The sequence below is a fragment of the Homo sapiens genome, chromosome 17, assembly GCF_000001405.40.
Source record: "Homo sapiens chromosome 17, GRCh38.p14 Primary Assembly".
In the NCBI taxonomy this organism is placed as follows: Eukaryota; Metazoa; Chordata; class Mammalia; order Primates; family Hominidae; genus Homo; species Homo sapiens.
In genome coordinates, this window is record NC_000017.11 from 1,492,700 (window position 1) to 1,516,666 (window position 23,967).

The following is a 23,967-nucleotide window of genomic DNA, read 5'->3' on the forward strand; positions in this document are numbered from 1 at the left end:
CTTGGCCCGGATGGTTGGAGCAGGAAGAGGAGGGGCTGGGGATGGAGGAAATGCCTGTTGTCCCAGGTAACCAGAGGAGCCGATGCAGCCACCCATGGGGGACCCTGGGCTCCAGGTCAAAGGCTAGGACGCCTTTCCCCTTCCCCCCATCCCCACGGCAGCTCTATGGCTGGGCCCCTCCTCCTGCCCACTCTCTGGTACCACCTAGAGAGCACGGGGCCCACTCCCCAAACCAGACGGCATGCCCTCCCCTAGGCCAAGAGGACCCGTTAGTAGGCACTGGCTTTCCTGCACATCCCCTCAACGGGGCTGCCCCCCACAGCAGGTGAGCCCCCACCATGAGTTTGAGAGACCAGGGCTGCTGGGGCCTGGTCATGCAGGGCCCGGACAGGGGGCTGTCCCGCTGTGAGGAAGCTCTTGGCTTACCCTCCTCTGAGCCTCAGAGCTTGTGAGGTTAGTTCCTGGGTTCCCTGGGTGTGGGCAACCTCTAGCCCTGTTCATCCCTTGCGTTTCAACAGTACCCCCAGGTGACCCCCACCCCTGATGTTCCTGCTTTTCTATTTTTATTGTTGCTAAATCACAGCTGACACTTTCCTGGCCTGAGACTGAGCCCTCCAGTCTCCAGCCATTCCTTATAGGAAGTAAGAACAGGGAAGTGGATAGGGGAAACAGACCTTTCCAGAGGGAGAGGCTGGCATAGGAAGGGCTGAGTCCCGTGGGTGTGTGCTGGCACCGACAGCCCCATAGGCAGGGGCCTTCCCCCCGGCACCCTTCTCTCTCCCCACAGCTTCCCCCGCCCCGGAAAAGCTAGCAAGCCTTCCTTCCTTCCTCCGGGAAGCACATCTATCCAGAGCAGGCTCATCCCCGGCGGCCACACAATGGCCCTTATCAGCCGTGGAGCCAGGCGTAGACCCAGTGCACACCAGGTCTCACTTATTTCCTGTTTCCACCCAGTGGGTCGGGGTGGACCCAGAACGGCCATATCCTGACTGGGGCCCAGAGGACGGAGAGCACCCCCCATTCCCCTTTCCGCCTCTCAATCACTGCTGGGCTCACCCCTCCCACACAGGAGGCTGGGTGTGTGGCGACCTCAGTTCACCACGGGGGAGGTGAGCATGTGGGGGGACCCCTGGGGTCAAGCCCCGGGGCCGCATTAATCAGAACGGGGAGGCGGGTCTAGTGCGATACACTTTCTGCAATTGTTCTCCCACAGTAATCTTGAGAATAGGGACATCATCTGTATTTTACAGACTACTGAGACCGCTCTGCGGGTGGGTTCAGACCCCATTCCTGTTTCTGGTCCTGTGGGAAACCACAGGTGCCTGGAACTTTGAAGAGACTGTACCACTTCTCTGAGCCTTGGCTTTCCCATCTGCCCAATGAAGGGTGCCATGCAGTAACCCTCGTGATGGCTGTGCATGTGAGAAGGAACAGGTGGGCAAGTGAGGGCTTTGGAGGTCCCTAGGTATATGTGTTGGGGGCAGGGATAGGTTACCATGGGGGAAAACTCAGCAAGAAGGGGCTGAGGAGAAGTGGGGCAGAAAGAGAAGATGGTGGCATTCTGGACTGGTTAACGCAGGCAGAAGGCTCAACACCAGGGTATGCAGAGCAGCGGGTCAGGAGGGATGAACAAGAGCTCATTTGACTTAACAGAGTACATTAAGCGGCCACCGGCATAGATGGCATGCTCCACCTGGTTAGGGCCCCAGAGGCTCACCATTCTAGAACCTCATCCTAGCCCCAGTCCTGGCCACTTCTGCAAATCTCAGACACAGAAGTCTAGTTGGGATCTACAGGGTCCCTGTTCCTGGAATCTACAGCTAGTCCCAGGCCCATCACCGTACCCCCACCCCCCAATCATCAGTCACACGCAAGTGTAAAAGCCACGCTAATAATTACCCCTGCACAATGTAACAGTCACAAAACAGCCAGCCATGGCCTGCTGGAAGCCAGGGGACAATTCTTCATACACAGGCTTGCGGGGGAGAGTATGCAACACAGAGCAACTGGAGTAACCCTCAGTCCCAGGACACAGGATGGCAGGACAAGCACTGAGCAGGCTCCCAGAGGTGTCTTCTCCTGGGAAAAGGGCTGCCGAGTGACCATGGCGGAGGCAAGTGCTGGATGTGGGGACAGGCCATGTCCCCAAAGCCCCTAGAGGGTGTTCTCTGAAGAACCCCAGGGCCAGATCCTCCAAAATGTCTTGAGCTGGTTCTCCCTTCTGCCTGCCCCCACTCTGAGGTCCCGGGGGGTCCAGGGGGGGCCCGTCGTCAATGGCTCCTGACAAGGGTGGCACAGACGCACCTCACCTGCCAAGGACCACCCTGGAAAAGTCTGTGGCCACAGCTCCTTGACCACTTGTCACCCCTTCCTCAGATGGCAGGGTGGAGGCATGGGACTCAAGCTACCAACGGAAGCGAACCTGGATCCTTCCCAGTTCTCTCTGTCAGGATCTGGAACTTCCATGCAGTCAGACTCCATGCCGTGAGTAGGGAGGAAGGTTGTGCTGGCCGAAGGACCCTCATCAACCTGCTCATAACCATGGCGTAAGAGCCTGGCTAGAGGGGCCCCTCCATTCTGCCCACTGAGTCAGACTGCTTTTGCTGAAAGCAGAAATCCCAGACCCTCTGCTCACTCCTCACGGGGACAAGCTATGAGATGCCAAGACTCCTGGAATCCAGCACTGCTTGCACCAGTCTATGTAGCCTGTACAAATGTGAGCATCTCCCCTCCCAGACAGCCTGAGGCCCAGGACGGCACGACAAGAATGCAGGCCTGTGCCAAATGGGGCATGTGCCTGGCAGGACTACTTGGGCAAGACTAGAAGAGGGGGTAGGAATCCAGAAATGAGACGCAGAACTGTCCCCAGGTCTTCACTGTTGACACACTAGCTGGTTTCACTCACATCTCAGCAACAAAAACCTGTATTTAAGCGGCTAATTCCAGAGATGAGTAGTGGAGAGAGCAAATGAGCCTGGTTAGAGCTCACTCTGGGAGGAGTATGTGGACGACACTTGGCTGTCTCTTCAGGGGGCCAGGCTGGGCCCCCAGCACTCCCGGCAGTGGAAAGGCAGAGCTGGCTGCCAGCTCTGGCCTCCGCCTGGGATTCACTCCCATCCTGGCTCAGATCTGTGGCTGTGCTTCACCCAGTGGGTCCTCCCTCAAGGAGCCAGGCGGGATCTGCAGGGATAAAGCAGGTGGTGGAAATGGAGAGCGGGTCTTCCTCCGTGCTTTCCATCACCCCCGTTCCTGCACTGCAGCGGCCCCTCATGTACCGGCTGGCTCCCAGGCCTGGGCCTCAGGGAGCCAGTGATGAGCTCAAGCCCTCACCCTTCCCCTTCCCTCACCAGCACTGCTTACCTGGAAGGGTCTGCTTATCCCCACCACAGAACGCAGACTGTTGCTGTAGTAACAGAGGAGAAACTCATCTTCAGTGGTAGGGATATTGCTGATGTCGATGTAAACCTGGAGGGGGATGGACAGGACTGGGGTCAGCTCCAGGGCTCTGGGCTCCACCCAGCTCTGAGTGACAAGTTATTCAGCACTCTGTTCCTTCCACAAGACAGGAGTGCTGAGGCAGGCCTGCCTGCTGGTGATGTACCTGGTGCTGGTGACGTACCTGGTTCAGGTTGTCGCTGCAGGAGACCTTGCTGTCCCCGACCCAGGCATAGGACACGTAGTCATTAACGTCCCGCAGCCCCACCTGTGAGGGGGAGTCAGGCCATCAGTGGTCAGGGAGGACATGGGACCTAAGGCAAGTCCTAAGGAAGAGATGGTCTCCCTGCTGGGCCTGGCTACCGTACTGTGTGCCTCCCCGCCGCCCTTCACTGCCAGCCTTTAGCTACAGAAGAACCGCTGGGGTGGATGAGGGTGAGTTCGTCAGCATCTGCCCAGCTCCCAGGAGCCCTCGGGAAGGATGAACCAGGGGCTGTCGCTGATGGACTTCCTGCCTTGCCACCACATCACCTTGTACAGTCCAATCCAGTCCCACGGGCTGCTGGGGAAGTCCGAGGTTGAAGAGTAGCTGACCATCATGTCATTTTCCACGGTCCACAGGTCCTCGGGCATCAGGACGATCAGCGGAGCAGACACCAATGGCTTCAGCTAGACACGGGGGTGGGAAGGGGGCTGAATCTCGCAGCATCATTCCCTCCTCTGAGGCCAAGTGTTCCTCACTGTGCCCTTCCAACATAGTGGGGAAGGTGGGGCACCCAGAGGGGGTGGGCATGGAACTCCACTGGGCTGCTCCAACGGACCTTGGCTGGCCATCAGGAAAGAGGGCCGAACACCAGTCGGCGGGTGGCTGGCCCTGTCGGAATCCCATGGGGCCCAGCGCTGGGGGGTAGGAATGGCGGAGAGCAGAGGCACGGCTGAGAGGCTTAAGGAGGCGGCCAGGCAGCTGCTCTCAGGCCTCCCGCCTTATCTGACCCAAAGCCCCACATGGGGGGATGCTCTGGTGAGAACAGCTGTGAACGTGCAAGAACACAACGCAGATACCAGCGGGGGCCAGGCACGGTGGCTCACACCCATAATCCCAACAGTTTGGGAGGATCACTTGAGCCCAGGAGTTCGAGACTAGCCTGGGCAACATAGTGAAACCCTGTGTCTACAAAAAATACATAACAGCCAGGCGTGGTGGCGTGCACCTGTAGTCCCGCTACTAGGGAGGCTGAGGTGGAAGGATCAATCACTTGAGCCCAGGAGGTGGAGGCTTCAGTGAGCTATGATACCGCCACTGCACTCCAGCCTGGGCGGCAGAACGAGACCCTAACACACACACACACACGCCAGTAAACCTGTATGAAAACGTGAAGGCTGAGGGGCAGCAGCCTGAAGGAGGCCAACACCACCTTGGTCATTCAGATAGCAAGATACAAGGACGCAGGGATGGAGGGAGCGCCCGTTGCAACTTGATCCAGATAGATTTAGGACAAATAAAAGAAGTCCTACTTCTCACATTGGGTAATAAGCCTAATGGAACTCATTAGCCCCAAGGGAGAATACCCAAAGGAAATGGAAACCTTTTCACAAAGGGTTTGAACACGGTTTTGACAGACAGAGCCATCAACGGCTCCTAAGAGGAGCTGGGATATCCGACCTGGCAGGAAAGGCAATCATGGCCTCCACAGGTCTCCCCTGGGGGACTGGCTGACATTCGAATCCAGGGATGGAGGGCTTGGGGATGTGGCCAGCATAGCTATTCCTCTGGCAAGTATCAGGCAGCCCAGAAGTTCACCTCCAAGTCGAACGTGCCGGAGACAGGCTTGTGGTCGCTGATGCCGTACGTCATGTGGCTGCTGTAGCCCCTCAGAGACAAGGAGAAGTGTGACGCCGGCGGTATGGGAGTGTCGGGGCCAGCACAGGGCTGCCGCTTCAGCCTCCACAGGATGCGATCGGTCCATGCAGGCTTGCGTTTTTTCTCACTGCAGGGGCAGGGGGCATAAAGAGGAAGAATGGGGAAAGAAGAAAGGGTTGGCTAAGAGCAGAAATGAGCCCACATGAGCTTGCTGGAGCCCCTAACTCCAGCAACTACTGGCAGCCACAGACCCCCGGGGCCAGAGCCGGAGGGAGCAAGGCAGCAGGCAGGAAGGTGCCTAACAGAATCCAAAGTATGCCAGCACTTGTCAGACTTAGCCAGGACCCTCTGTATGTCTAGCTCATGTTTTTATGGATCAAATTGTGACTCAGAAACATTCCATTTCAAAGCTTTGCTTCTTTCTTGAGCAAAAGCAGCAGTGGATCAAAGCAGCTGAGGTTTGAGATTCTGAGGCTGGACACACCTGAGCTTGTATTTGGCTGCCCTGCATACTAGAAGTATGCCTCAGGAAAGGGAAGGGAAGCATTTAGGAAATGCTTACCAGAGGATGCCTGTGATCAGTACTGTTACCACACCTTTTTTTAAATTTAATTTTATTTTTTTAAAGAGACAGGGTCTTGCTCTGTCATGCAGGCTGGAGTGCAGTGGTGACATCACAGCTTACTGTAGCCTCAAACTACTGGGCTCAGGCGATCCCACCTCAGCCTCCTGAGTGGCTGGGACGGTAAGTGCGTGGCACTATGCCTGGCTAATTTTTAAACATTTTTTTGTAAAGACAGTATGTTTCCCAGCCTAGTTTTGAACTGCTGGCCTCAAAGGATCTTCCCATCTCAGCTTCCCAAAGTGTTGGGATTAGAAGGCATGGACCACTGTGCCTGGGTGTATCATGCTCTCTTTACAGGTGGAGAAACTGAGACTTAGCTTAGAGGGGAAGCACCTTTCCCAAAGTCACAAGGTACTAAGTGGTGGAGCCAGGATTCAGGGCCAGCCAGCATGACCACAGAGCATGTGCTCTTAACCACCAAACTAAACTAACCTCTCTCAGGCCTCAACTTCCTCGCCTGCCAGTGGAGGGAATAACAGTAGTTACCATGAAGGGTTGCTAGGATGAGTCAATGAGATAAAGTACATAAAATGTTTAGCACAGTGCTTGGTGCAAAACGAGCTCGCCATGCACACTGGCCTTTATGATTTCCTCTCAAGAGTCGACTGAGAGGCCGCGCGCGGTGCTCACGCCTGTAATCCAAGCACTTTGGGAGGCCAGGGTGGGTGGATCATGAGGTCAGGAGATCGAGACCATCCTGACTCTCTACTAAAAGTACAAACATTAGCCAGGCATGGTGGCAGGTGCCTGTAATCCCAGCTACTCGGGAGGCTGAGGCAAGATAATTGCTTGAAGCTGGCAGGCGGAGGTTGCAGTGAGCTGAGATCATACCACGGCACTCTAGCCTGGGCGACAGAGCAAGACTCTATCTCCAAAAAAAAAGGAGTCGACTGAGAGACCTCCCACCTGTTCTTCACTTGCCAGTTTCCCTGAGGGGTTTGGAAAAGGTAATACGCTCCGGAGACAAAATGCATTCCTCCTCTAGGTAACTGAAGTTGACCAAAGACGAGTCTCTGACCCATAACCCAGCCTTCCGAAGCAACTACTGTGGCAGTTTCTAAGGCCACCTTGTCCTTGAGGCCCTGCCCTCCTGGAGACCAGCAGCTCTGACTCCTGGAGGTGGGGTGTGTGTGTGGCGGGGGAGCAGGACAGCTGCGGTTTCTGGGTTCCACCCCCTTCATGGACAATCTCCTTTCTTGAATCAACCCAGAGTAATAAAGCCTAATTGGATCAATCAATCAATCAATCTATAGACAGGGTCTCACACACTCTATCTCATCTATTGATCGATCGACAGGTCTCACTGTGTTGAATCCTATCTACCTACCTATTGATTGATCAATCCATCGACAGGGTCTTGCTGTGTTGCCCAGGCTGAGTGCGGTGGCACAATCCTAACTCACTGCAGCTTCAAATGCCTGGGCTTCAAGCAACCCCCCACCTCCGCCTCCTGACCAGCTGGGACCACAGGCATGTGCCAGGGCACCCGGCTATTTTAGAACCTTTAAGGCATCTTCACTGCCTCCAGAATAAAGTTAAAGTCCCCAAGTAGGGCTTTCAAGGGGCTCAGGAGTCTGACCACCCCATCCTTCATCTCACACCACTTCCCCAGACCCACTCCACCTTGGTGACTCTCTCAAGCCTCTGGACCTTTGCTTTTGCAGTATTTGCTGCCTGGAACACCTTTCTTCACCAGGGAGAGGCCTTTGCCGAAACCATCCCAGACATTAGCTTTTTGCTTCCAAAGTTTTTTTTTTTTTTTGAGACGGAGTCTCGCTCTGTTGCCCAGGCTGGAGTGCACTGGCGCAATCTCGGCTCACTGCAAGCTCCGCCTCCCAGGTTCATGCAATTCTCCTGCCTCAGCCTCCAGAATAGCTGGGATTACAGGCGCCTGCCACCATGCCTGGCTAACTTTTTTGTATTTTTAGTAGAGACGGGGTTTCACCGCATTAGCCAGGATGGTCTTGATCTCCTGACCTCGTGATCTGCTCGCCTTGGCCTCCCAAAGTGCTGGATTACAGGCGTGAGCCACCGCGCCCGGCCACTGAAACATTTTATACCAGTATTATACGATTACACTACATTGCAATTTTCTGTTTCCCACTCAGCATGTCACTTAGGTGTAAGCCCTGAAGGCAAGGACTTAGCTGTTGGAGTGTCCTGTGTATCCTCAGCATTAGCACAGATCCTGGCACACAGGTACTCAATAACCAGGTACACTTACTAAAAACCCAAGCTGAAGCTCGTCCCTCAAAAATGTCCGTCTAATCTTAATGTTTACAGCTCCATATACTCGCAGTTGGAAACACTATTTTTGTCTCCTTCTTTATTCAACTGCTTTTTTTTTTTTTTTTTTTTAAGACGGAGTCTCGCTATCGCCCAGGCTGGAGTGCAGTGGCGCAATCTCAGCTCACTGCAACCTCTGCCTCCCGGGTTCAAGCGATTCTCCTGCCTCAGCCTCCCAAGTAGCTGGGATTATAGGCGTTGAGCCACCATGCCCAGCTAATTTTTGTATTTTTAGTAGAGACTGGGTTTCACCATGCTGGCCAGGCTGGTCTTGAACTCCTGACCTTGTGATCCGCCCGCCTCGGCCTCCCAAAGTGCTGGGATTATAGGCGTGAGCCACCGTGCCTGGCCTATTCAACTGCTATTTTAAATAAATGTTCCCAATGTACTGGTGTCCCTTCAACAGTAAAAGAGTAAGTATTCTAGCAACTGAGGAGAATGGCGTTACAGTGGTGAGCTCAGACTTTTGAATCAGAGACCAGTTGGGGGAAGGGTCCGTCCTGTTAATTGAGAGCTGTATGCCCCTGGGCAAGTGACTTCATTTCTCTAAGCCTCAGTTTCTTCAGCTGTTAAGACGGGGTGATAACAGTACTTACTTCAAAGAGCAGTAATGAAATTAAAGGGCGTCAAGGGGGTGGTCACGAAGCGGTAACTTTGACTAACCCTGGTCTGCCTGTTGGCTCCTTGGGTCATTTCCAATCTTTCACTCTTCTAAGGAGTGTTCAGAGGGCACTGGAATGTGGTATTCCCATCCCAGAGACCACAGACACTGCGTCCCTGAATCTGCCTTGGACAGCAGGTGCCTAGCAATGCTTACAACTTGGTAATGGGGCTGGGCACGGTGGCTCACGCCTGTAATCCCAGCACTGTGGGAGGCTGAGGCGGGCGGATCACAAGGTCAGGAGTTCAAGACCAGCCTGGCCAACATGGTGAAACCCCGTCTCTACTAAAAACACACACACACACACACACACACAAATTTGCCAGGCGTGGTGGCATGTGCCTGTAACCCCAGCTACTCAGGAGGCTGAGGCAGGAGAATCGCTTGAACCTGGGAAGCGGAGGTTTCAGTGAGCCAAGATTGCATTGTTGCATTCCAGCCTGGGCAACAGAGCAAGACTCCATCTCAAAAAAAAAAAAGAAAAAAACAAACAAACATAGGGCCAGGCACGGTGGCTCACGCCTGTAATCCCAGCACTTTGGGAGGCCAAGGCGGGCAGATCATGAGGTCAGGACATGGAGACCATCCTGGCTAACATGGTGAAACCCCGTCTCTACTAAAAATACAAAAAATTAGCCAGGCGTGGTGACGGGCGCCTGTAGTCCCAGCTACTCAGGAGGCTGAGGCAAGAGAATGGCGTGAACCCGGGAGACAGAGCTTGTAGTGAGTGGAGATCGCGCCACTGCACTCCAGCCTGGGCGACAGAGCGAGACTCCGTCTCAAACAAACAAACAAACAAACTTGGTAATGAACCACACAAATGCACGTTCTCTCTTTCAAAGCATTCTCCCTCCCTAACTTCCCTGTGATGGTTTGGAGCCCATATATGCTGTCATGTAAGGGTCTTCCCCAAGCCCTGACCACAGCCTGTCTCTCCTTCCTCCTCAGGACTCTCAGCCCACCCCCACCCCCCTTTTTTCCTTTTCCTTGCCACGGCCAGGCTGATCACTGGGCATACCAAGATTTACTTAGCCCTTCTTATGTGCCCCGCAACTGGGGATATGAGAAATAGGATGGACAAAGTCCTTGAGGAGCCTGTTTAGCAAAATCCAAGAAACAAGCAAAGTGAGCGTGTACAAATTAACCAAGTTCTCTCCACTCCACCTTGTTTTTCTTTAGAGACAGGGTCTTGCTGTCATGCAGGCTGGAGTGCAGTGGTGTCCTCCTAGCTCACTGCAGCCTCCTTGAACTCCGAGGCTCAAATGATCCTCCTGCCTCAGCCTCCTGAGGAGCTGGGACTTCAGGGGTACACACCATGCCCAGCTGTTTTTTTTTTCTTTTTAAGACAGGGTCTCACTGTTGCCCAGGCTGGAGTGCAGTGGTGTGATCACAGCCCACTACAGCCTCAACCTCCTGGACTCAAGCAAGGCTCCCACCCCAGTCTCCTGAGTAGCTGGGACTACGGGTATGTGCCACCATGCCAACTTTTGTATTTTTTTGTAGAGATGGGGTTTCACCATGTTGCCCAGGCTGAACCTGAGCTCCTGGGTTCAAGTGATCATCCTGTCTCTGCCTCCCAAATTGCTGGGTTTAGAGGTGTGACCCATCACGCCTGGCCTTTTTTTTTTTTTTTTGAGACGAAGTCTCGCTCTGTCACTCAGGCTGGAGTGCAGTGGCGTGATCTCGGCTCACTGCAACCTCCGCCTCCTGGGTTCACGCCATTCTCCTGCCTCAGCCTCCCGAGTAGCTGGGACTACAGGTGCCCGCCACCATGCCCGGCTAATTTTTTTTTATTTTTAGTAGAGACGGGGTTTCACCGTGTTCACCAGGATGGTCTCGATCTCCTGACCTCGTGATCCACCCGCCTGGCCTCCCAAAGTGCTGGGATTTCAGGCGTGAGCCACCGCACCCGGCCACACCAGGCCTTTTAAAAAAATTTTGCAGGGGGAGGGTTCTCACTCTGATGGTGAAACCTCATCTCTACTAAAAATACAAAAAATTAGCCAGGCATGGTGGCGGGTGCCTGTAATCCTAGCTATTCAGGAGGCTGAGGCAGGCGAGAATCACTTGAGCCCAGGAGGCGGACGTTGCAGTGAGCCAAGATCATGCCATTGCACTCCAGCCTGGGTGACAAGAAGAAAACTCTGTCTCGAAAAAAATAAAACACTTTGTCTGGGCTCACAGTGGCAACTATAACAAAACTCCAGTGTAACCCCGGACTTTAGCAGGATTCCCGCCCTGCCCTCAGCCCTTTTGCCCTCCCTATAAGGGAGCTGGCCTCGTTTCTCATTACATCTTGGCTCAGGGACACCGTAGTGGCTGGCCCAGCACACTAACGCTCACAGTCACTTCATCAAACCGGCCCCCTCCAGGTTCCTCTCGTCAGTGTGCTGACTGATTGGAAAGCCCGCCTTTCTGCTTTCTGCGAAACTCTGTGCCTCCTTCAAGATACTGTCCTTGACAGGAAGTCTGACAGGCCTCTCCTAGCTTTAGCTGTTCACCTCCTTAACATTTGCTCCAACCTTCTGCACGGAGTTCTGGAAACCTTCTATTGACTAACTCCCAGGCTTGGTAACATATGCCAGGTACTGTGCTACTCCCAGGGATGGTCCTAAATCAGATCGTCTCTGCTCTCTGGGCAATCACAGTACAGTAAGAAAGGTACGCTGTGTCTCAAAAGCAACACTGAAAGCATGGCATGCGCAAGGCTGGGGGTGGCACAAGGCAGGAGAGGAACTCTCAGTGAGATGAGGAGGGGCCGGGAAGGCGTCCTAGGAGAAGTGATGTCTCAACTGGGTTTCCAAGGATAAAATAACAGTGTCATTAGACAGGAATATCTGTTCCCCAGGTGGGCTCAGGCCCTGCTCACTGCAAAACTCCCAGCTGCCCCTGGATCCTGGCCCCAGCCAGGAGTATTTCAGTTACCATGTCCCCTGTTCCCGCCCAGACAGTCTTGCATTTCCTGGGCTCCAGCCAAAGGGAAGCAGTACCGAAGGCTCATGAGTCTACAGACACAGATATGAGTTCCAATCCTCGTGCGATGAAGAAGCCTGTTACTCCTTACTTATATATTCTTTGAGACTCAGTTGCTTTCCTTGTAAACAGGCAATAATAACACTGTTTACCTAACGAGGACATGGTAGGAACTGATACAGGCAAAGCCTTGGCGCACACCTGCACGCCAATCACAATGAGCTGTTATTTGGAAATAGGTGCGTGCCTCCTCCTTAGCGGGAGTCTGCCTTCCTCACCGTGCCATCCTTTTTCCTCTTGCTGGCAAGGATGACCATGAATCCTGAGGTACGATGGGCTTGAGGAAAGTACTGTGGGCTACAGACTCAGAGATCAGTCTCAGCCCCAGCTCTGCCACTCACTGGCTGAGCTACCTGGGGAAGCCCTTGAACTTCTCCAAAGCTCTCTACCCTTTCTGACCCTGCCAACTCCAGCCCAGATCCAGCTTTTGCAACAAACTTCAGTCTCCTGGAGGTCTCTCTGCCATAGGGCTGGGAGAAGGGGACGCCTGGCCGTAGGGCCTGCCAGCAGCTCTCTTCCTGCTGGTAAGTTTTTAAAGAGGATTTTTTTTTTTGGAGACAGGGTTGCCCAGCTGGAGTGCAGTGAGTCAATCTCAGCTCACTGCAGCCTTTAACTCCTGGGCTCAAGTGATCCTCCTGCCTCAGCTTTCCTGAGTAGCTGGGACTACAGGCACATGCCACTACACCCAGCTAATTTTTAAATTTTCGTAGAGACGGGGTCTAACTATGTTGCCCAGGCAGGTCTTGAACTCCTGGCTTCAAGCACCCCCTCCCCACCCAAGGCCCTACCCTGTCCTTACAGCTCCCACCAGGACTCTTGTTTCCAATGGATGGCTGCAGAGACTGGCAGTCTCCCTGCAGCTGTTGATCTGGGCCGGCCATCCTGCTGCAGCCTGGCCTCTTACCTCCTTTCCTGCCTGCTCTGTTGCCCAGGGCGGGTCCCTTCCCCAGCGTCCACTGCCTCCTCTTCTGTGGACGGCCCTGCTCACGACCCTACCCTGTCTTGCTCCACACTGCTGAATCGGCTCACTCTTTCCCCCTTTCCTTGACAAGGATATTTTGGCTTTGCTGTAACACTTCCAGAACCAAGCTTGAGTTCTACCTCTTGTCTTGGTCTGGCTGTGGAGATATTTCTTCCCTGGCTAAATCCCAAAGCCCTGGGCTGCCCTGCCGGTACCTCCCGCCTCCCTCACAGAGACACTCCAGCTAGGAGGAATGAACAAGCTGCTCCCGCTGGAACAAAGACCCTCATGACATGTAAGGGGCTCTTCTTTTCTTCAAAGAGATTAGGTTCCTTGCCCCAAAATGAGTCAGGGACATGTTGCCAGTGGTTCTTTCTCAGGTTTTGGTGGTTATTTGGCCCCTTCTCAGCTTCTTAGAAAGGTTTTTAGTAAATCTATCACGGGAAGACATGAATCTATTTATTTTATTATTATTTTTTTGAGACGGAGTCTCGCTCTGTCACCCAGGCTGGAGTGCAGCGGTGAGATCTCGGCTCACGGCAACCTCTGCCTCTTGGGTTCAAGCAATTCTCCTGCCTCAGCTTCCTGAGTAGCTGGGATTACAGGTGCGCGCTACCATGCCCAGCTAATTTTTGAATTTTTAGTAGAGATGGGGTTTTACCATGTTGGTCAGGCTGGTCTCAAACTCCTGACCTTCAGTGATCCACCTGCCTCGGCCCTCCCAAAGTGCTGGGATTACAGGTGTGAGCCACCGCGCCCAGCCGGCATGAATCGAAAAGTCACAATAGCCGTTCTCTCCCATGGTTACTGGGTGACGGCCTCCTTCAGTCCTCAGCCTCATGAGGTGTGTGCTCTTCTCATCCACACCTTATAGCTGACAAAATCAAGGCCTAAACGCTTTGGCTAAAATAAGACAGAGCCGTGCTTCTAACTACCAGACTCATGATCTCTACACTGATCCTGATGAAACTCTCTACCTACTACTTCACCTTCTCACACAAGACCTGACCCATTCACAGGCTGGGGCAGGCGTCCTTAATACCAGTAACTGGCTGGGCCAAGCTTTCTGCCCCGTTTGGGGACCAGAAGGTCTGGGGTTTCCCGAAGCTGAAGTGCAGTCCCTCCTAGGTCAGGAGGCAGCTGCTCCACCCTCTCCTCTGGTTCTATCTGTAACACCCCCACCCCCTACACACCTCTCCTGCCCTTGCTGGCACTGGCTTTCCTCCCACTCTCTCGAGATCTGGGACGGCTCCCCGAGTCAGCGCCTCATGAAGTGGACAGGAGGTGCCACTCTGGAGAGGGGATGACTAGACCAATTCCTGCCCCCCCTAACACTTCTATTCTGAGACAGTTCCCATGCCAGCAGGGTCAGTGTAACCTGACTTCCTAGACCTTCTGGCCCCCCACTCCCTCCTCACCTGGTGTCATAGTCGTTGGAGTTCCTATCAAACTTGTAGGTGGGCGGGAAGAGTAGGCGGCCCTCCTGGAACTCCCGGAGCAGCGGGTCATGTTTCTTGGCAATGCTGAGCTGCAGACAAAGTCATAGTCCCCGTCTCCCAGTAGTCTCGACCCAGTGGCCCAGTACCACACTCCATTCAAGGGATCAGCACATGCCGTCACAAATGGGGCAAGAGTCAAGCAATGCCACTCCAATTCCTCACTGCCCCAGTGACTACTCAGCAGCCCACTCCCACCAGAAAGCAGGCGAATCCTTTCGGAAACATTACCAAGGCCCAGGGGAGGCAGCTGTCTGCCGTTTCCCAGTCCTTAGACTGCAGGGACCCAACTTGGAATTCCATCTCTAGGGGAGATCACTAGCAGACATGTGTCAGAGGGGAACCTGGGGAAGCCAGGGTTCTCCAAAGGGGCACCTCACCCTCCAAGAGGGAAACGAGGCTGGGGATGGGAAAGACGACAGGGACACGATGGGCTGACGCATGATGGTACCTGGTGCAAAGCCCTTCTGGTTCCCTATTCTTCTTCTTTTTTTTTTTTTGAGATGGAGTTTTGCTTTTGTTGCCCAGGCTGGAGTGCAATGGCGCTATCTCTGCTCACTGCAACCTCTGCCTCCCGGGTTCAAGCGATTCCCCTACCTCAGCCTCCCGAGTAGCTGGGATTACAGGCACGTGCCACCACGCCCGGCGAATTTTTTTTTGTATTTTTAGTAGAGATGAGGTTTCTCCAAGTTGGTCAGGCTGGTCTCAAACCCCCGACCTCAGGTGATCCACCCACCTCGGCCTCCCAGAGTGCTGGAATTACAGGCATAAGCCACCGTGCCCGGCCCCTATTCTTCTTTTTTAAATAATTCATTTCATGCTTTGTATCTGACTCTCTATTCTAAAGCACATCCAGGGTCTGTTACCCTGGCTTTTCCATGTGAAGATCAGGCGTGGCTGCCTCACCCCTGGATGCGAAGCCCTGCTAGACAGCCTCCCCCACCAGACCTGGGCAAAAGAAAACAGCAGCGAGGGCATCTAGCAACACTCTGCACAGCTCACATGGCCCCCACCGTGGGCTCAGATCACCCCCTGGGACCCTCCCCTCACTGGATACCTGGTCCTTCTCCCACAGGCCACCGTAGCACCGATTTTTAATGGATTCCCGAACAAAGTGCAACCCAAAGTCCTCGATCCGAAAGTTCATGTCTCCAAACCAGATAATGAGGCTTCAGAAAAAAAGGAGGGCAGCCTGAGGATTTGTGATGAAGTCGGGGAAGGGAGATCACCAGGTGGCTCAGCCTGCTCAACCCAAGGGCTGCTGGGGCACAGAAAACCTGAGGGGCAAGTGAGACGCCAGGGCACGCGTGGGTCCTCTGGAACTGTTCTCATGGCTCCTAAACCACCATTCAAACCGGAGAGACCTACCAAAGAGCCTGCTCTGGCAAACACAGAGCAGGCTGTGGCCCTTCCTTCCTCTCCTTAACTGGTCACGAGGAAAGGCTGAGAAGCCCTCCTGGTGACCTCAGGAGCCACAAGGTCCTTGACCTGTTCCCAAGTGTTCAGGGTTTCTAAGCAAGACAGACGGGCTGGAGGAAGGGGACCCCAGGCAGGCAAAGCAAGGGGAGACAGCAGATGGGCACCAGGGAAGGGTCAGGGAGAGGGTGGGAGCCAGAACACTGACGACACTGGCTGGGGGATCCGTGATGGAGCAGAGGATGCTGGCTTGGGTTAGCGTGGGGCAGAGGGCGGGGAACAGTCTGCAGACCCAGGCTCACTCGTGGCGGTCAGCTGGGGCAGAGGGCGGGGAACAGTCTGCAGACCCAGGCTCACTCGTGGGGGTCAGCGTGGGGCAGAGGGCGGGGAACGGTCTGCAGACCCAGGCTCACTCGTGGCGGTCAGCGTGGGGCAGAGGGCGGGGAACGGTCTGCAGACCCAGGCTCACTCGTGGGGGTCAGCGTGGGGCAGAGGGCGGGGAACAGTCTGCAGACCCAGGCTCACTCGTGGCGGTCAGCGTGGGGCAGAGGGCGGGGAACAGTCTGCAGACCCAGGCTCACTCGTGGGGGTCAGCGTGGGGCAGAGGGCGGGGAGCGGTCTGCAGACCCAGGCTCACTCGTGGGGGTTAGTGGGGGTTAGCGTGGGGCAGAGGGCGGGGAACGGTCTGCCAGACCCAGGCTCACTCGTGGTCCAGGATGTTTGGGATGTCTCGCCCCTCACAATTCTGCATCTCCAGGATCCGGTCAAAGTGCTCCAGCCGCTGGTAATTGTTGGAAATGTGGGGAGGCAGGTGGCAGTTGATGATGCTGACATAGTAGCCATAAAGCTTCAGGCAGATGTTGACTCCACCTTTGTTCCCCTGGTAGAACAGGTCAACAGAAGAGTGGGAAGCTACTCGGGTTGGACACACCCCTCTTTCCACATCCTGGACCTGAGGGCAGACAGTCTCACTTCCTGCAGGGTCTCCTAGGGACAGTAACTAAGCTTCCCAGGGTGATCTCTCCATGCACAGAGCCCAGCTCGCCTCGCCTGGCCTCAGGGATAGCAAGCCCACTCTGAGGCAAAAGAACAAACATGCATTGGGCTGGACAGAGGACCAAGATTCCTTTCACTTCCTTTTTCTTTTGCCCAGCTCCACAGTTCCCAGCCCTTCCCAGCTCACGACTCAGACAATAGCTCAGTCCTTACCCAGTACCCAAACAGGCCAGTGGGGGTGGATTTAGTAGACAGAATCTGGATATAGGGCAAATGCTGATACTTGGCAAAGACCAGTAAGAGGATCCCCTGCATACGGACATGGGAGACCTGCAGGAGAGAGAGGGCAAAGGTCGCTCATTAAACCACACAGGCCAAGTGCATCCCTTCCAAGCTCCGTGCTAGGGACTCTAGAGAGCCCTCAGCTACATGCAGTGTCCTGCTCCAGGGTCTACGATATCCCAGTTTGAATCTCAGAGTTTCAAGCCTTTCCATTCTTCTTCTCAGCTGCCAAATGATACATTCTGGGGGCTGAGGTTTTCGATTCTGCGCCTAGGCGTGCGGGTGGCGGGAAGAGAAGATAAGCTAAGGATACTGGCTTTGAAGTTAGATCTGGGTTCAAACCCTGGCTCTGATTCTTAGTATTTGACATTGAGGCAGTTTCTCAGTGTATTTTCTCATTGATAAAGTAGGAATCCATCTCATAGATGCTGTGGGGATTATCTGAAAGCTATTATTTTTTGGTTTCAGCATTCTTTTTTTTTTGAGACGGAGTCTCGCTCTGTCGCCCAGGCTGGAGTGCAATGGCGTGGTCTCGGCTCACTGCAACCTCCACCTCCTGGGTTCAGGTGATTCTCCTGTCTCAGCTTCCCAAGTAGCTGGGATTACAGGCGCCCACCACCAGGTCTTGTATTTTTAGTAGAGATGGGGTTTCACCGTGTTGGCCAGGCTGGTCTTGAACTCTCGACCTCAGGTGATCTGCCTGCCTTGGCCTCTCAAAGTGCTGGGATTGTAGGCGTGAGCCACCGCGCCCGGCCAAGCATTCTTAAAAGGAAGGAACATAAGAGGTTTCCAGGATACTGGGAAATGCTCTTCTTTATCCCCTTCCCTTCCTCCCTCTCTCCTTGGAAATGTTCTTTATCCACCAGCTGCCCCCATTCCTCCCTTTTTACTTAGAGACAGGATTTCGCTCTGTCTACCAGGCTGGAGTGCAGTGGTGCAATCACGGCTCGCTGCAGCCTTGACATCCTGGGCTCAGGCAATCCTCCCACCTCAGCCTCCTGAGTAGCTAGGACCACAGGTGTGCACCAACATGCCCGGCTATTTTTGTTTGTTTTGTAGAGACAGGGTCTTGCCATATTGCCCAGGGTGGTCTTGAACTCCTGGGTTCAAGCAATCTCCCTGCCTCTATAATCCCAAAGTGCTGGGATTACAGGCATGAGCCACTGTACTCGGCCTGCTCTTTATCTAGATGTGGCTGATGGTAACATGGGTATATGCAAAAACCCATCAAAGTGTACACTGAATTTCTGCATGCTTTTCTGTGTACATTATAGCTCAGTGAAAAAAAAATAAGAAAATGCTCCCCCCAAACCCCATAACTATATACTGCGTGCAGCTGGGTGTCCATGAAGGCAACGCCCATGGAATGCCAGTGGGTAAGGACACATGTGCACAGGCTAGGGAGAATAGCTAACATCTGCTCAAGTGCCTCCTCTCTCATTTACTCCTGCCAAGCCTGTAAGGAATCACCGTCCCTGTTTTGTAGTTGAGGAACTAAGATTTAGGGAGGCTAAGGAACCAGTAGGGCTACCTGTATTGTAAAACAACATCAAAGGGCTAGGACTGCCAAGATCCCTACTATCTGCAGCTGCAAAAGGTGGGGTGGGAATGGGCCGCAGCCAGTAGCTCTCCCTCTCAGGTTCAGGCTGTCTACCACCGGCACCCGAGGAGCCGTTTCCGGAGAATGAAGTGTGGAGGCCAAGGAGGAAATCCCCGGGTGGGGAGCGTGTACTGGGGCCTTCCAGGAATTATGAAACTTGATCCTGCAGGCCACGAGCCCTGGCATAGCGGAGTCGAAGCAGGGGGAACCTCAAACCCAGCACTGGGTAAGGGAGGCATCAGAACTTCAGGTGGGCCAGAGGTTGCTACAGGTGTGTCCTCAAGCCTACTTCCTCCCCAGTCTTCTCTCTCCTACACCCAAGCACACGTGCCAACAGGGATGGAGGACGGGCTGGACCATGAGGGGCTGACTCCCAGGGTCAGGATTGAAGCAAGGGGACTGATAAAGACTCAGGAAAAGTTTCAGGCTTAATCCCCACCCACAAAGCAGCTTTAGGCCACTGGGTTCCACCACAAAGACACTGGCTCGCTTTGTGAAGGAGCAGCAGGGAAGTGGGGGCGGGGAGGGTGGGGTCGGGGCAGGACAGAGTTAGACTGGGAGAAAGGGTGGGGCTGTGGGAAAAGCAGGAGAGTTCTAGGGAAAGTTCTAGTTGGAGGAAATGAAGTAGGAGGAGCGAAGAAAGGACTAGCAGGAGGTGGCTGGGGGCCCTGGAGCAGTGGAAGGGGGTCAGCCCTTCTCAGTCTATAGCTGGCAAATGCACGGAGCTCACCCATCCACCCTGATTCTTGGCTGGGGAAAGAAGGGCATTCATTTTGGGTGCCAGGCCCTCAGTCTGGCCTCCCAATCTCAGTAGGCCACATGGGTAGAAAGGGCTGTGTCTCTGCCACAAGTTGAGCTAATTTCCTTGGCTCAATTCCATCCTACCAATCCTTTGCCAGTCAGCCGAGAAGCAAGGAGGCCTGCAGTCTTGGGAAGGGAGTGGCGGGTGAGAGAGAAGTGGTTGTGTCCTCTGTAAGGATCTAGCTCCCTATCTACAGAAGGAGGCCTCTGGGTTTGATGTGGAGGGAACCAAGGACTCGGGCTGGTGTTTTCTATCCTCAGCAGGAGTTCTAAACCTTAGATTCTTTCCTCCCCATTCTGCTCCCCCTCCAAAGGACACACAGCTCTTGCCTCAGTACCCCCAGGCAAACTAGGCTGACAGAATCCATTCTGAAGAACAAGAGTCATCCAGGAAGGGGAAAGAGGGAATTCTGGTATTTCTAAGCAGCTGTATACCAGGTGCTGTGAATGGGAGTGTGTTTCATTCCTCAGGTGTGCAGGGCAGAACCAAGGTGAAGGTGAAGATCTGGCAACCCAGGGCCTTCCTGTGGACTCTCCTACTGTCTAAAGACACCCCAGAGTATACTGGTCTCTCAGACTAAGAAAGCCGCCCAAAGTACCCACCACACCTGACTCCCCTCTCCTAACCTCTGGACCCCCAGAATCTGAAGTGCACGTCCCGTATGACCTGAGGATACCCTATGACACCAGCAGGCTAGCCACGCCTAAGATCTGTCAGTCTTAGAGTTCACCAGCATAGCAATAAGGTATTAGTAGTTAAGAACTTGGGTTATGAAGTTTGAGAGATCTGGATCCAAATCCCAGATAGCGCATGTGGCTTCTGAGCCATGGTTTTCTCTGTAAAATATCTCTATTTCAACAGACTTGTTAAGATTTTAAAATAACATATATACTATAAAGAGCTACTTATGATGTGTAACAACAAGTAAGCACTTGATAAATGACAGCCGTATGATTACACTCAGAGACTTCAGGATGGGCATTTGAGTAGAGACTGGTGGCTGGGGCAGCGGCCAGCACTGAGGTGATGACAAGCCCTGCTGCACCTCCCCTCAGAATCTTCCCAAGCTGAAACATATCCAGGTGTTAACCCAACCCCTGGAGACTCCAGCTCCCTCAGAAAGGCGAAGGCAGGCAGGGGCCCCGGGGTCCAGGTGGAAGGGAGGTTTAGCCCTTTAAACAAATGGGAAACAGCATGAAAGGCTGAGCAGGAGTAAGAGGAACACATCAGACCCAACAAGCAGGGGTCAGTGGAGATGTGAAAACACAGTTGTCAAGTGCCAATGAACTGGCAAGTTACCTTGATGAAGCTCAGAGGGGAAAGCACATCCATGAGGAAACTGCTCCACGAGTCATTAAAGGCAGCATCGGAAAGGAGGCTTATGATCCCAGAGTTCAATTCCTGCAAACTGACCATGCCAGCTCAGAGGCTTGGCCCCTGGCCTCCAGGCTACTTCCCCTGCCACAGATATTTGATACCATCTTCACGGACTTTCAAGGCCTGAGTTCTGATGGCCATGAGGTCTCCCTCCCCTGCCTGCTGATCTCCAGCCCCCTTTGCCGTTGCTGACCCGGGACCAGAGACATGGGACTGTCCCTGAAGCAGGCTGAAAGCTCCCAGCCTTCAGACTCCAGAGCGGAGGAGGGCAGGTCACAGTGCTTCCCACAGGGAAACCTGGGACTGGTCAGGGATGGGCGAAGGAGCCTGCAGATACCTACCCAATAACATATATGTCAAGATTGAGGTTCCGGTTGTTCAGCTGAAGCAGGTCACTGAGATCTAGAGGGGGCGCTGCCGAAGCCACGTTCCAAGTCACGACGTGTATGCTGCGGAAGGGATGCAGAGGGAAGTCATGGAGGAAGGAGGATAAGATAGTGCACGGGGTCGGCTGGGCGCAGAGGCTCACACGTTGTCATCACAGCACTTTGGGCGGCCGAGGTGGGCGGATCACCTGAGGTCGGGAGTTCGAGACAAGCCTGGCCAACATGGTGAAACCCCGTCTCTACTAAAAGTACAAAAATTAGCCCAGCATGGTGGCAGGCGCCTGTAATCCCAGCTACTCTGGAGGCTGAGGCAGGAGAATTGCTTGAACCCACGAGGCAGAGGTTGCAGTGAGCCGACATTGTGCCACTGCACTCCAGCCTGGGTGACAGAGTGAGACTCTGTCTCAAAAGAAAAAAAAAAAAGATAGTGCACGGGGTCTAGGCCTGCTTATGTCACTGCAATCTGCCACACTCATGATGGGAAATGTGGGTTTCTGTGCTGGTGGAGGGAATGGGGATACTGAACCATCAGCTGTCCGTCCTCACCTTTCTCTGCTGAAGCAAGAAATCCCCACCCCGGACTGGGTCCTCCATGCTGGCTCACAGCCACCCACACCCGGCAGCACTGGTGCTGCTGATATAGCAGAGTCGCCAAAGGGAGCCCAAGAATTTCAGGTCAGGCTAGCGAAGGGTTAGGGGGCTGAACTGCCAGGAATGTATTAATTCCATCAGCTCCTCCAGCCACCCACACCCCTCTGTCATCATCTATGGCTCAGTCGGCAACTTCTGATCCCTACTTCTCACCCCAAGTGTTCCTAAGACCACCAGGAAGATCCTAGGGATTCAGATTTCACCTTGTGATAGGCCTCAGCACTACAAGGGCAGAGGAATTTAAAAAATAAAAGAGATAACACCACCATATTCCCTTCCTCTCTCCTCCCTAGCAGATCCCTGGAGCAAGCCAATTTTGCCAAGCACTTCAGCGAGACTTTTTTTTTTTTTTTTTTTGAGACTGAGTCTCACTCTGTTGCCCAGGCTGGAGTGGACTGGGATGATCTCGGCTCATCGCAGCCTCCGCCTCCCAGGTTCCAGCAGTTCTCCTGCCTCAACCTCCCAAGTAGCTGGGATTACAGGTGTGTGCCACCACATCTGGCTAACTTTTGTATTTTTAGTAGAGACGGGGTTTCACCATGTTGGCCAGGCTGGTCCTGAACTCCTGATCTCTCAGGTGATCCGCCCGCCTCAGCCTCCCAAAGTGCTGGGATTACAGGCCTGAGCCACCGCGCCCGGCCAAGGAGTTTTTAAGTAACAGGTTTCTCGACATCTCTCTTAAGAGTCTATGCTCTATGTCTGCGTAGTATTCCGTGAAAAATAAAGAGTACTCTCTGGGGAAAAGTCATCAGTTGGATATTTTCCACCTCAGCTTACAAGTCTTAGGGAAGCAAGAAAACTAGATAAGGGGCCTCAATGACACTGGATCCAGTCAGAGGCTCAGGAAAGAGAGACCTACAGATGTCTTTAGTGGAACAGTCAGTCACAGCAGCTCTTCAAGAAGCCTCAGACTGTGCGGAGCACAGAGCGGGCAGGAGCTACAGACCCTGCAGAGACCAGGAACAGCCTAGCATGAGTCCTAGGCACACGATGAGGAGTACCTGCAGCAGCTGGAGATCTGGAATGGCAGAGGGTACAGGGGGATGGGAGAAAAGGGCAGTTAATGCCAAAACATCTCTCCTCCAACAGACCCCGTCCTTAGAGGTCGACGTTCTCAAAAGCACTTCAAGAAATTCTTGGCCAGTTTAAAGCAACTTCCTGTCCCTCCCTGTTAGCATAAACAACACTATACAGAAACCACCTTCCCAGGCACTCGGCCTGAGATTTTGAGCTTCATTTGTTTACGATCTCCCCCTGCTGTCCGACAGAGGCTTAAGGAACAAAGACCTTTTACTCAGAGACTTCTTTTCCCAGACTCACTCTAAGAGGATGGAGAGCAAAAGTCCGGATTTCTTGTTCCCACTCTCAAATCCGACGATTAGCAGCAAATCCAAGCATCGTGACTTAGACTAAGTGGGCGATTAGCGTTGTTCCCCGTGAAAGAGCAGGCAAGAGACCAGGCTAAGTCACTTCCCTAAAGGATCTTATCTCAATCTGATTTCGGATTCCCGGGGTTCACCATGGGATCAGGCAGACCTCCTGATGTATGTGCTGATGAAAAGTAGGAAAAAGATTTCTAACCGAGAGCCGAAGGGTGACGGCCTCGTTATGTCTTTAACCTCAAACAACCCCACACGGCTGTCCTCTCCAGAAAGCAACCGGGACACCTGCTGCGCCCCAGTGGGAACGAGCTTGGCGGCCTCGGCTTAGAGGGGGCGCGAGGCTCGGGCCCAACACAGCCCACCTGACACAGGCGTGGGAGAAGGCGAGAGCGCCTCTGAACCAAAGGCAGTCATGGAGGTCTGGTGCCTTGTCCACCCCCAGCCCGCAGCCCAAGGGGCGCCGATCCCCCCGAGCAGGCCTGCCTCTGCCGCCAGGGTGCCCTCACCTGAGCCTCCTGCCTTTCGGCCCGCTCAGCTTCCGCGAGCTCATGGCCGCCGTCGTCCCCGCGCGGTGGTCCGGCAGGTTCGCGTCTCCCGGCCAGCGGGTCCCGGCCAGAGCAGCCCTGCGGGCGGCCGGTCTCACGCGCCTAGCTGTCGCGGACTGTTTTTCTTCCGGACTCCGACCGTCCGCCCCGGCTTCCGTCAGAGACGCGCCCT

General features: G+C 54.1%; 1 protein-coding gene and 1 long non-coding RNA gene across 7 annotated transcripts; one reads left to right on the forward strand and one right to left on the reverse strand.

Moving 5' to 3' along the window:
- Positions 88-1,995, forward strand: LOC105371483 (uncharacterized). The gene is made up of 2 exons (XR_934145.4): positions 88-926; positions 1,251-1,995. It is a non-coding gene; the product is annotated as an uncharacterized LOC105371483 (long non-coding RNA).
- On the reverse strand, positions 1,878-23,913 carry INPP5K (inositol polyphosphate-5-phosphatase K). 6 transcript variants are annotated; one of them, XM_024450802.2, is made up of 14 exons: positions 23,757-23,913; positions 23,189-23,419; positions 22,870-22,886; positions 21,173-21,280; positions 20,754-20,855; positions 16,984-17,100; positions 16,479-16,654; positions 15,416-15,527; positions 14,281-14,390; positions 5,237-5,423; positions 3,967-4,104; positions 3,620-3,703; positions 3,361-3,465; positions 1,878-3,180 (listed from the first exon to the last, which is right to left on the reverse strand). In XM_024450802.2, the coding sequence occupies exons 5-14, from the start codon at positions 20,784-20,786 to the stop codon at positions 3,124-3,126; spliced, it is 1,119 nt and encodes a 372-aa protein (XP_024306570.1). In that variant the 5' UTR covers positions 20,787-20,855; positions 21,173-21,280; positions 22,870-22,886; positions 23,189-23,419; positions 23,757-23,913; the 3' UTR covers positions 1,878-3,123. The 6 variants fall into 6 exon arrangements, with proteins under 6 accessions (XP_024306570.1, XP_011522236.1, NP_001129114.1 ...); XM_011523934.2 differs by having other exon boundaries at positions 20,754-20,862; NM_001135642.2 differs by having other exon boundaries at positions 20,754-20,862; positions 22,728-22,886.

Bases quoted from the DNA above. Each gene is read 5' to 3' on its own strand.
- INPP5K (NM_016532.4), bottom strand. From the start codon at position 23,800: ATGAGCTCGCGGAAGCTGAGCGGGCCGAAAGGCAGGAGGCTCAG. The intron at 16,655-16,983 runs GTAAGGACTGAG...CTGTTCTACCAG, and splicing joins CTGGCCTGTTTGGGTACTGG to GGGAACAAAGGTGGAGTCAA. The intron at 5,424-14,280 runs GTGAGGAGGGAG...CTGCCCCTGCAG, and splicing joins TCCAACGACTATGACACCAG to TGAGAAAAAACGCAAGCCTG.